Source organism: Homo sapiens, chromosome 3 (genome assembly GCF_000001405.40).
Source record: "Homo sapiens chromosome 3, GRCh38.p14 Primary Assembly".
Taxonomy (NCBI): Eukaryota; Metazoa; Chordata; class Mammalia; order Primates; family Hominidae; genus Homo; species Homo sapiens.
Window position 1 is genome coordinate 19,864,392 of NC_000003.12, and position 13,412 is coordinate 19,877,803.

Sequence of the window (13,412 nt, forward strand, 5' to 3'; positions counted from 1 at the left end):
CTCAAGTTCAAAGTTCCACAAATCTCTAGGGCAGGGGCAAAATGCCGCCAATCTCTTTGCTAAAACAACAAGAATCACCTTTGCTCCAGTTCCCAACAATTTCCTTATTTCCATCTGAGACCACCTCAGCCTGAACCTTATTGTCCATATTGCTATCAGCATTTTGGGCAAAGCCATTCAACAAGTCTCTAGGAAGTTCCACAGTTTCCCACATTTTCCTATCTTCTTCTGAGCCTGAGCCCTCCAAACTGTTCCAACAACTGCCTGTTACCCACTTCCAAAGTCACTTCCACATTTTTGGGTATCTTTTCAGCAATGCCCCACTCTACTGGTACCAATATCTGTATTAGTCAGGGTTCTCTTAGAGGGACAGAACTAATAGAATAGATAGATAGATAGATAGATAGATAGATAGATAGATAGATAGATAGACAGACAGGAGTTTATTAAGTATTAGCTTACATGATCACAAGGTCCCACAACAAGCTGTCTGCAAGCTGAGGAGCAAGGAGAGCCAGTCCAAGTCCCAAAACTGAAGAACTTGGAGTCAGATGTTCAAGCTCAGGAAACATCCAGCATGGGAGAAAGATGTAGGCTGGGAGGCTAGGCCCGTCTCTCCTTTTCACATTTTTCCTCCTGCTTTACATTTGCTGGCAGCTGATTTGATTGTGCCGACCAGATTAAGGGTGGATCTGCCTTTCCCAGCCCACTGACTCAAATGTTAATCTCTTTTGGCAACACTTTTACAGACACACCCAGGATCAATACTTTGTATCCTTCAATCCAATCAAGTTGACACTCACTATTAACCATCACAAGTGTGAATAATTGTGAGCTTAGTCACATAAATGTCACAAAGCTCAAAGCCTTCTCGCTCAAAGTGAGATCCCAGAGCAGCTGCATCATATCACCTGGAAGCTTTGGAAATGCGTAATCTCAGGCTCCACCCTGGACATACTGAATCGGAATCTGCATTTTAACAAGATCTACAGGTGATTTATATGCACATTAAAATTTAAAACACACTAACTTAGAGGATATCAAATATAAATTTATTCATTCCCTATTGTCCCCAATTCACACTTCCTCCTAGCAAAATTTTTATATCTGTAAATCTTTTTTTAGTTTTTGTTACTCTTTTTCATTAATGGATGTGCTAGTCTATCTGTAAATCTCAGTAATTCAGATAGGTATATTTACTGCAGAAGATGATTAATTTACCGCTGACCAAAAATTCTAATCATGAAAATATTTCTAACAGGGCAAACTACAGGCTGGATCTCTGGACAAAAGAGCATTCTTAGTCTGTCTAAATTACTAGTTAACCACCACCTAACAACTGAGAGACTAGGCATGGGGAGTGCCTTTTTAAAAAGATAAGCGTATGTTAATCACTTCAAGGTATTAATATATATAATTTACTCCAAGAGAATGAAAAAGACTTTCCCTCTGCTCAGGTGAAGGTGTGTTCACCTCTATTTACAGAGTAGAAAATCTGGCAGAGTAATTACAGATGGAATAAGAGCTATAAGCTCCAGATTACTCTCAGGAAACATTTCTTAGTCTAAATGCACTTTTTAATTAGCTCTTCCAATAGCATCATGCTAATTGGCTAATTCGGGAATGATATGAGACCCCATGTGCTTTAAAGAAAATCTGTTTGTTGATATATTTATTTGCAACTGAGACTGTCTTATTGCTGGCAGGACAGATATTATTAAAACAGAATCACCTGCTTATTTTAACCAGGTTTTTTTAATGAACACACATGAATTGGATTATCCCTAGGGTTTCAGGAGGAAGTATTAGCATTCTGAGTGATGGGAAATTGCCACTTAGCTGGGAAATAAATGAGCTTTAAATAGATCCCATTATTTTTTGCGAGGTTATTACTGTAAATGTTTTATAATAGAAGAAATGCCTTTCAAGTCTATCCTCATTGTTGGTTTATGATTGGGGTGTTAACCTCTAACTAGCCCAGCTCTTCACGTCAAGCCATGGTGAGCTTTCATAAGTGGTTACTACATAAAATAAAATTACCCTTTATTGGCCCATATAATATTTCCAACAAGTTCCTTGGTTAACCATGCTGTGAACAAAATGTATTAAGTTTATTTGCCTGAGCTAGGAAACAGTAGTCTTTAAAACTTTTTATAGGTTCAATATATTCTACTATTAACGAGACTATCCTGAACACTATGGAAACATAGTTTAGGTGAGAACATGGTGATATATTTGAATATTTATTTATATCTCATCTGAGTATTTCACATTGTTTTACTTCTTTCTCTAACAGATGACACTTTATGATCCAAGCAAATCTCCTCTCTAGGTTGCTAGTACTATTTAAAATGTGCCTTTTCAGCCTAATTTCTGCCACCAAATAATAATTTTAAAAAAGAAAGTGCATAGATCATCCTGGATTTTGCAAAGCGTTGTGGTAGACTTCTTCCTCCAGCTTAACATTCTCTTTTCAGCTGCTGCTATTCCACACAGTTGGCTAAGGTTCATCGCTAAGTTTGGAAATGCTAGGGTGCCCCCTACCGTTAAAATGGGAAATCACGTTTCTTAGCCACGCCATTCAAAGAACAATATTCTCCCAAAAAGGGTATTTAACCAAAGCACAGATAAGCAATTAGTCACACCGATGGATGGCTGGATGGATGGATGGATGGGAGACAGAGGCAGGTAGTAAATCTACCTGAGGATAAATTTGAAATTTTGAAGTTAGAAGCTACTTGAGTATTCATCTGGTCTAGAGATCTGTGGGAGATAGGGTGACTGAATATCACATGGTCAAAAGTATACACGTATATGCATTTTTCTAAAATAATAGTGTGTATAGCTATCATCATTATTTCAAAGGTATACATAACCTGGGTCACTCTCTCTCCACTACCTTCCCTGTCATCTTTCTTGGTGGTATCAGTGTCCCTGTAGGTGATTCATCTACTTAACATCAGACTTCTCACTTCTTGAACTCCCTTTTTTAATGAACCTGTTCTCCACCTACTTTAGTCACTCAGGCCCATTATCACACCCTAAATTTTATTACCAACATCTCTACCACCTGCAGAATCTCATTTGCAGGCATTCCACTCTGATCACCAACACTTATTTTTCTAGCTTATTTTTTATAGTATTCCTCTACAACTTTTGACCCATAGGAATGGCCCAGTTCATTATCCCTGCCATTTTTTCAGTACCATCTCATTTCTGAACTTCTTCCTGACAGATCTTAGTCTCCATGTCACGTCACTAGAACTATTTCCTTGCATAAATTCAACTTTGTGCCTCCCTCCCACCATTTTATTCCGCAGGTAAAATTCCAGCCCTAGTCAAATATAAATCTCCATTTATTCCAGATCCAAAGTCTAGTAGTTGCATAAGAAAAAAACTGACTGAAGAAAAACACAAAACCAAGTGACCAATCTCATTTTAAATTTATAATTAAAAAATTCAAGAGGGCTTGCAGTCCTACTATGTTTTCTAGTCAAGTCACTGCCTCACTCTCTAAATCAGTTCTCCTTCCTCACCTTTCGTCCAGCCCTCAACACACCCTCCTCCTTTCTTACTCTCAGCTGATAACCCTTTTTTATATATACAACTTGCCATCCTGTTGTCCTCTTATACAACTGACAGCTGTTCCAAAGAAACCTCTCCACTTCTACACTGTATCCCAACCCCTTTCCCAACTCAAGAATTTGCTCCTGTAATTATTTCCTCTTACTCCTTTATTCTCCTCAACTATACAATTCCTATCAACACGAATTGTGCTATAAAATCTCATATGTTTAAAAAGCATCTTTTCTCTGCCCTCTTTAAAAAAAAAAAAACAGTGTCTTACTCTGTTGCCCAGGCTGGAGTGCAGTGGCACACTCTAGGCTCACTGCAAACCTCCGCCTTCCAGGTTCAAGCGATTCTCATGCCTCAGCCCCCCCAGTAAGTGGGACTACAGGTGAGCATCACCACACCTGGCTAATTTTTGTATTTTTAGTACAGATGGGGTTTTGCCATGTTGGCCAGGCTTGTCTCAAACTCCTGGGCTCCAGCAATCCTCCCGCCTCAGCCTCCCAAAGTGCTGGGATTACAGACATGAGCCACCACACCCGGCCCTCTCTGCCCTCTTCATAGCAGAGTTTGTTAAAGAGTTCTCCATCATACACACTACTTACCTCCTAAACTTTTGTGAACCCATTTTCATGAAACTGCGACTCCACTACTGGCATCAAAAGAGCTCCTGTCAAGGTTGCCAGTAACATCCAATTGTCAAACTTCATGGTCAATTCTCAGGCTTCACCTTTACCTCCAAATAGCATTGTCAGTTGATTTCTCCCTCCTTCTTAAAATACCTCTTCACTTGAGTAAGTGCTCCATAAACGTCTGTTGAATTAATGACCCCAAAAATATTAAGAGTGCAGAACCAATCCCAGATTCCAGTGCAAATGAAAGAGCAGGGCTTAACCTTCTCATCTAAGTTTTACATAGGTGATAGATGGCTTAAATTGGGACTTGGCATTGATGGGCCAATCTTTATTCTTCCAATATTCTGTGAGTGATTGCATACTGTTGTCCCTGTTTAGTCTGTATATCTTTTTCATTAGTTCCCCAAAGATTTATGGAGCACTACTCCATGCCAGGTAATGTGTATCTAGAAATTTGTCAATTTGGATTATGTCCTCAGAAAACGTATACTATAAATTAAATAGAAGAGGCAAGTATATAGCTAATTATCAGACAAAATACAAAGTAATTGTTGTCTCACAAAGGCACAGAGAACTAAGCAAGTTCAAAGGAAAGACAGATTCTTTGTAGCCAGAGAATGATTCCGGGAAATTTTGTAACAATAGTAAACTTTGAACTATTCCTTAAAAAAGATGTAGAATGTAGGCATGTAGAAAGTGGGGAAAGGAGGATGGAAGTATTTCCAGGGGAAGATATGAGTATAGTGGATAGCAGTCACAGAAACGTCATATAGTTCAGTTCTTGCTGAAGCAAAGAATAGATGAAAGGGAGTGATATGAAATGAGGTCAAAAAGAAGCATTAGAGGAAAACACTGTAGGGCCTTATGATGCTAGGCTAAGAATGTACATTTTTCTAAAAAATGGGAAAACTGTTGAAAGTTTTAAGGTATAGTAGTGGCAAGATTGTAAAGGCTGGAATAGAATGGACTATAAGTAGAAAAAATCATCAAAGCATAGGTGAAGCACTGTCAAACAAGGAGAATGCCTGTGAATGGAGAGGTAGTGACAGATTACAGATGTTCCAGAAATTGAATAGGTACGGTGGAAGGCAGTTCTCCCAAAAGTGATCTATAAATGTGGCACAATCCCAATAAAAATCCAGGAAAGATTTTTATGCAAATAAATAAGCTGATTCTTTTTTTTTTTTTTTTTTTTTTTTTTTGAGACGGAGTCTTGCTCTGTCGCCCAGGCTGGGGTGCAGTGGCGCGATCACAGCTCACTGCAAGCTCCGCGTCCCGGGTTCACACCATTCTCCTGCCTCACCCTCCCGAGTAGCTGGGACTACGGGTGCCCACCATCACGCCCGGCTAATTTTTTGTATTTTTTAGTAGAGACGGGGTTTCACCGTGTTAGCCAGGATGGTCTCTATCTCCTGACCTCGTGATCTGCCTGCCTCAGCCTCCCAAAGTGCTGGGATTACAGGCGTGAGCTACCACACCTGGCCATAAATAAACTGATTCTAAAACTAATAAAAGAAAAGCAAAGTAACTAGAACAACCAAAATAATTCCAAATAAAGAACAAAGAGCATTCACACTGATTCTAAGACATATTCTAAAGCTATAGTAATGAAGACAGTGTGGTATTGGTGAAAGTGTAAACACATAAATCAATAGAACAAAATAGTGAGTCTATAAATAGACTCATACAAATATAGCCAATTGATTTATGGCCTAGGTACAAAGGCAATTAATTCAATGTAAGAATAACTGTTTCAAAAAATAGTGCTAAAATAACTCAACATTCACAAAAAAAATCTATGAGATTTTGAAGTAAGCTAATCTTTCATAGAGAAGACACCAAAAGCATGATCCATTAATGAAAATAATGAAAAATTGGGCTTCATCAAAATTTAAAACTTCTATTCTTTGAAAGACACTGTTAAGAAAATAAAAATCCAAGCTAAAGACAGGAGAAAATATCTGCAAAACACATATCTGACAAATGACTTGTATCCAGAATACAGAAATATCTCTCAAAACTCAGTAATAGGAAGATAAGCCAGTTTTAAAAATGGCAAAATACTAAGACAGAAACTTTACCAAAGAAGACACATGCATGGCCAACAAGCTTATGAAAAGACATTCAACATCATTAGTCATTACCGAAATGCACATTAAAACTACTATGTGCTATTATTGCATACCTATAGAATGCTTAAAACATTTTTTTAACTAACAATATGTGACAATACCACATTCTGGCAAGGATGTACTGGAATACTCATGAATTGCTGGTGAAAATGCAAAGTGATGCAGCTGTTTCGGAAAACCATCTTTTGATTTCTTATAAAGTTAACATATAGCCCAGCAATCCCACCTGATAGGTATTTTTTCAAGAGAAATGAAAAGTTATGGTAATACAAAACATATATATGAGAGTTTATAGCTGCTTTATTTAGAATTCCCCAAAACTGGAAACAACCCAAACATCTTTACATGGTAAGTAGATGAACAAATTGTAGCATATCTATGCAGTGGAATACTACTCAGCAATAAAAAGAATGTATTACTAATCCATGCAATAACATGATGGATCTTGAAAACGTGTACTGAGTGAAAGAAGCCAGTCTCAAAAGGTTACACACTCCATGGTTCCATTTATATGAGCTTCTTTTTAAGGCAAAACAATAGGAACAGAAAACAGATCAGTGGTTATGATGGGCTGGGATGGGGAAGAAGAGATTTACTACAAAAAGGCACAAGAGAATTTTAGAGAGTGATGGAACAGTTCTTCATTTTGTTTGTGATGGTAGTTACACAACCTATATGCATTTGTCAACACTCTTAGGATTGCACACTAAAAAGGGTGCTTTTTACTGTGTATAGATGATACCTCAATAACCCTATTTAAAAATCGATACACAATTTTTAAATGTATCACATCAAAAACATACCTAGGAATAAATCTAATGCAAGAGGTACAATATCTCAACATTGAAAACTAAAAAGCAATAAAGAAAAGCTAAATAAATGTATACATGTACCATATTTAGTGTTTGGAAGTCAAAACATTGTTTTAAAAAAAAAAAGTAAAATTCCCCAAACTGATCTTTAGATTCAATGCAATCACAATAAAAATCCCAGCAGATTGTGTGCATGCTTAAAAAAAATAGAATGAGAGGCTGTGCTTAAAGCCTGAAACAAGTGATAGAAATGCAGATGGGGGCTATCCTTGAACCCTTGGGGTAAAACTGTCCAGGTGAGTTGAGACGTTGGGTTCGAAGGATCTTTAAAGGCAAACAAGAATTGAGAGTCAGGATGTACAGGGATGCAGAAAAAGGCATCCTTAAGGTCCAGGACTGTAAACCACTCTGCTTCCTCTGGTATTTGCGAAAGCAGAGTATAAGGGCTAGGTACAGCTGGGTATAGAAGAAAAACAGCCTCATTGATAATCCTGAGATCTTGCACTAATCTCTACTATCCGTTGTGTTTCTGTACTCCTAAAATTGGAGTATTGCAGTGGCTATTGCATGGTTTTACTAGGCCTTGGGCTTTTAGGTCCTTAACCATGTTTTGGAGTCCTTGTTGGGCCTTGGGTCAAGGGGGTACTGCCTTTGGTAGGGAAAGGAGGCAGAATGCTTTAGTTTAACTAGAACAGGACAGGTATTCTTTGCTCATCCATATTGTCCTTCTATTGCCCAGACTTCAGGATTAATTCCTTCCTCAAGCAGGGAACAACAAATGGGTGTTCCTTCTCCTATGTTCAGATGTATAATGGCCCCTGCTTTTGCTGGAATGTCTCTCCCTAACAAGGGAGTGGGGCTTTCAGGCATAATTAGAAAAGCATGTGAGAAGAGTAAAGTTCCCCAGTCACAACTTAGTGGCTGGGAGAAGTATCTAGTGACTGGCTGTCCTAGGACCACTCAGATAGTGACAGATCTGGAGGACAGTTGTCCGGGACAGGAGAGTAAGACTGAGAAGGCCAGACCAGTGTCCAGGAGATAGTTAACCTCCTGGCCCTCAATGGTCAAGCATACCCGGGGCTCTGTGAGGGTGATGGCATGGGCTGGCGCTTGCCCCGGCACCCTCAGTCCTGCTGCTGGATCATCTGGTAAGTGGCTTCTGACTCAGAGGACCTTCATCCTCTTGGGCAATGGGCCTTCCAGTGATTCCCTTGACATAAGGGGTATGGACGAGGGGGTGGCTTATTTCTACTTGGACAATCTTTTTTAAAGTGTCCTTGAAGACTACACTGGAATCAAGCCCTATTAGGCATTCGATTTCCCCAGCTTTTCCCTTTTCCAGAGTCTCCAAAGCTGCTTGCCTGAGGGTCATGACTAAAGCGGTGGCCTTTTTTTTTTTTAATCCCGTTTGTCCCATTCTGCCTGCTCCTCCTGATCTCTATTATAAAAAACCGAGGTTGCCAAGTTCAATAGGGTTTCTAAGTTTTGCTCCAGGCCTAAGGCAGACTTTTGAAGTTTTTTTCTAATGTCTGCAGCTAACTGAGTGATAAACTTATCCTTTAAGATTAGTTGACCTTCAATAGAGTCAGGTGACAGGGAGGTATGCTTCCTTAATGCCTCCCCTAGTCTCTCCAGAAAGGCAGTAGGATTTTCTTCCTTTCCTTGTGTTATAGTGGACATCACTGAATAATTCATAGGCTTCTTCCTAGTTTTCTTTAGTCCTTTTAGCACTCAAGTTAGCAAATGTCAGTGGCACCAATCTCCATGTTCTGATTCTGTGTCCTAATGAGGGTCTACACTGGGAACTGCCTGCTGGCCTGTGGGGAATCGTTCTCTTTCCTCTGTTGTCATCCTATCATTGACCTGACTGAGATACCAGAGATCGCCAAACTCTCGGGCTGCAGTTATGACGGCACTTCTTTCATTTGGGGTTAGCGTCTGATCTAGCAGTAACATTATATCTCTCCATGTCAGATTAAAGGATTGCCCTAGCCCTTGTAAAACATCAATATAGCCATCAGGGTTATCTGAGAATTTACCTAGGTCTATTTTAATTTGCTTTAAGTCTGAGAGAGAAAAAGGTACATGCACTCTGGCTGGGCCAATTTCTCCTCCTCCCACTGCTTGGAAGGGGCATAATCGGGGAATACTGGCACTCTTTAGTTCATTGTTTACCCATTTGTCTATCTCCTTTTGGACCGTTTGGGTTGAAGGGGGGTCCTTATTAGTTGGGGAAGGAGTCGGGGGGATGCTGGGATAGGGAGGTAGACTCTGAGGGCTTCCTGTAGGGCATACACCGTAATTGCGAGTTGTCTCTTAATGAAAAGAAAGTTTGCACATATGGCATTTCACTCCATTTGCCTTCTTTTCTACAAAAGAGGTCTAACTGTAAGATGGTGTTATAATTTATACTTCTCTCAGGAGGCCAGGTTTCTCCCCCTTGAAGAGGATATTGTGGCCAGGCAGTACTGCAGAAGAATATAAGTCGTTTCTTTCTTGGAGTCTGAGGATCAAATTGGTCCTAATTCTCCAGAATACATCTTAGGGGCATTTTTGCCTTGGGGGGAATGTTTCCCATCTGGAAAAAGAACATAGGGATGCCAGCACCCCTAGTCATTTTCTGATGAGCATTAGTCCTAGAGCTTCCTCTATGGTCCTAATGCTTATTCCTTTCCAGGGTGCATAACCACCCATGGACCTCTGCTTATCGGATTAGTTACGCTCACCAATGTAGCAGTCCTGCACTCCTTTTCCCGCCTTTCTTGACCACAAAGAAAGGGGCCTGGGCTGCTGGATTCTAGTGGTCCTTTACCAGCGTGCCCAACATTGCCTTTGTGCTCAGAGGTGAGTTCCTTTCCAGGGTGCGTAACCACCCATGGACCTCTGCTTATCGGATTAGTTACGCTCACCGATGTAGCACTCCTGCATCTGTTTTCCTGCCTTTCTTGACCACAAGGAAAGCGGTCTGGGCTGCTGGATTCTAGTGGTCCTTTACCAGCATGCCCAACATTGCCTTTGCACTCAGGGGTGAGTCCTAGAGCTGGGCTGGGTTCCTGAGTATTTCATAACAACCCAGCTGCCCCATCAAGATGCACTCCCATAAACAACAGTTCTTATGCAAATTCATTTCAGAGAGGGTGTAGCTAACCTTTTGAGTCAGGATTGAGATAGTCTTTTGATTCTGTAAGTACTTTAAGGCTTGGCTGAGTGCAAACAGCTCACACATTTGAGGAGACCAATTATTAGGCAATTTTTTAACTCTGCTTCCACAAGAGTCTCCTATCAATTACTGAATACCCATTGTGGTTTTTTCCTCAATCATCTGGGAGGAACCATCTACTGTCCTGTCCTGAAGGGAGTTCCTCCTAGGTCTGGTCGGACCTTTGTGTGGTAATTAAGATTTAAATCCTTTGTTAGGAAATCTGCTGGGTTAAGGGAATTATCAGTGGTTGGAGTTACATTACCCTTTTCTAACATAATAGCCCCATACTTTAAGATTTTTGAGTTAGTAAGCTACCTTTTTGGTTTTTTTGGCTATGAGGTGTGCTCACAACGAGGTTTCCTCTAACAGTTACTTTTCTAGTTTTAGCAAAGCAGTTGCGCTACCGACTGAATGCATTTGGCCCATCCGCAGGTTACTGGGCTAAGGACTTGCTACGCCCTTATTTACACTGACAACAACAGATCGCGCTTCTGCACTCAATTATCTGCAATTATCAATTACAGGTTTTAAATTTACCCTGGCTTTTAAAGGAATAGGGCACACTTTTTTTTTTTTTTTTTTTTACTATTTCTGTTTTTCTTTCTTTTTCTCTTTGACTCCCTCTTTGTCTCTCTGTCTCTCTCTCTCTCCATCTCTCTCTCTCTCTCTCCGTCTCTCTCTCTCAGCCTTACAAACTTGGGGCCCTGGCAAGGGTGGTGGGGAACGGGTCCCACGTAACTGCCCATGTAGAGAGCTGTGTACCTAAATTGGAAGGGATACCAGGGATAAGACTCCCTGGGTTATAGCCTAGGTGCCTAAGGACGCAGCGTAGCGCCTCCTTAGATCCCTTTGGAGATACAACTTGCTAGAGGAAATGAAAGTCTGAACCATTAGTACCTAGGAGGCAGGGATCAGAGGAAGTAGATTCAGAGGTAAGGAGAATTTTGGGGCTACACTTTCAAGAAAGTCCCAGTCAGGACCCAGGAGGCATGGTTCAGAAGGAAAGGTAGGGGCGCACTGCTGAGTAGAGACTTCTGGCTGTGCCATGATCTCAACCGGCTACTGCCGGGAGTTCGGGACAACAGCTTTCTGCCTCTAGTTGGCCCTCGGCTTCCCCAAGAAAATTGAAAGTGGAAGCTGGCTCCGGGCAGACCAACGTCCCCAGTAGAAGGGTTGGGGGTTGTTAGAAAGCCCTTCCACAGATAGCCTCACACCTGAGTCTTAAGTCCGGTGGCCACTCTAATTGTTTTTAACTGGCCGACAAGTGCCCGGTATTTTCCTCCAGTTCTAAGGAAGGATAGAACAGAATAGCAAGCGAAAGTGGTCCAATATTACTCACCACTTTGGATGTCCCTTCGTGGTCACCAAAATGTTACCGGGGTCCTTGCTCACAGAGCTCCCAAGATGGTGGCGAGCTGCTTCCAAGATGGTGGCAAGCCTCGTATTCTCTGACCTGGGGTTCTTGGCCTCACAGATTCCAACGAATGGAATCTTGGGCCATGCGGTGAGTGTTATAGCTCTATTAGAAGCCGTGGGTCACGGAAGAGAACCGTGGAACCCAGTGACTAGTGTTCAGCTCGATTAGGACGAAACCAGGCACTTAGCCATGCAGGAACAATGGCAACCCTTTAGCATGATCGGGAGTGGCAATGGGAGTCTGGCTGGTTCAGGAGCACAGCGGACACCCTGCCAGATTCAGAGGGATGGGAATCAGCAGCAGGATGGGAGTCAGCGGCGGGTCTGCGACAGTGGCAAACAGCAGTGGTAGACGGCGAGCGAAAGCTTAGCTGGAGCCGTAACAAACATGGACCAGAAGAGTGCAGTTGCAAGATTTAATAAAGTAAAATAGAGTGAAAACAGAGCTCCCATACAAAGGGAGGGGACCCAAAGGGGGTTGCCCCCATGTATCCATATCTTCTAGACAACAAGAGGTGAAGCTTTTAAATGATGTCAGTTCAGCTACCCTAATTTTTATTAAAAGGCTCAAACTTTTAAACAGGGTTTGCCCAGATAAGCAGCACTAGGTCCCTTGCCCCAAAGCCATCCTGCATTCAGGGCAGGGAGCAAACCCCTCAATCAGCTAAACTTAAATTCATGTGGCTCAAGGATCACTTCCATCACCTGTGCCACTTTGATTCTAGCTGGTTTAACTCATAGAAGAAACTTCAACAGGAGGTATGTTTCTGAATCCTAGGCAATTCCGAAACAAGAAGCAATGGAAGCAATTCCTAGGCACAGAATTGAAGGGGTGCACTTGAAAAGAATATTGACAATAGACTGCTAAATAGCACCTGCACTCTATTCAGTCCCTAGCACCTCAAAGAATAATGAAAAGTATAGAATAGGCTGAGTAGGGAAGACAGATACTTCATAATAAAAAGTAATGACCAGCCAGGCACAGTGGTTCACACCTGTAATCCCACCACTTTGGGAGGCCAAAGCGATGGATCACCTGAGGTCAGGAGTTCAAGACCAACCTGGCCAATATGGTGAAACCCCATATCTACGAAAAATACAAAAAATTAGCCTGCCATGGTGGCACACACCTGTAATCCCAGCTACTTGGGAGGCTGAAGCACAAGAATCGCTTGAACCTGGGAGGCAGAGGTTCCAGTGAGCTGAGATCGTGCCTCTGCACTCCAGCCAGGGTGACAGAGACTCCATCTCAAAAAAAAAAGGAAAGACTGGGCTTCCGTCCAAAATTTCTAAATTGCATGAAGGAAATAATGTTTCAAATGTCGTGCTCCAATAAGAGAAGACAGTATACATAAAGTAGATTTTTAGGCCAGATATAGTAAATGCATAGTATCAAAATTAACTTCATTTCTTCCAAATTAGTTTAAGTCCATAGGTCATAAATTCTAGCTAATGTACACATATGAGCACCCTGGTAAGTTTCAAATCAAGGTTTTCTCCATTTCTCTCCTTCACTCAGATATCACATAATTTCTTCTATGGCTTCGGTGACATACAGATACTGGGTTGTAGAAACACAATTTTCACTGAGAAAATTGCTCTGAGATAACTGCTCTCAGAGCTAAGAATTGGCTTATTTCCTAAA

General features: G+C 41.3%; 1 annotated feature.

The window, feature by feature from the left end:
- Positions 130-1,329: an enhancer, noted in NCBI's record as "P300/CBP strongly-dependent group 1 enhancer chr3:19906013-19907212 (GRCh37/hg19 assembly coordinates)". NCBI's record gives its function as "activates an origin of replication core promoter dependent on BRD2, BRD4, P300/CBP, MED14 and CDK7 cofactors, with strong dependence on P300/CBP, by STARR-seq in HCT116 cells {active_cell/tissue: HCT116}" and the evidence as "EXISTENCE:reporter gene assay evidence [ECO:0000049][PMID:35650434]".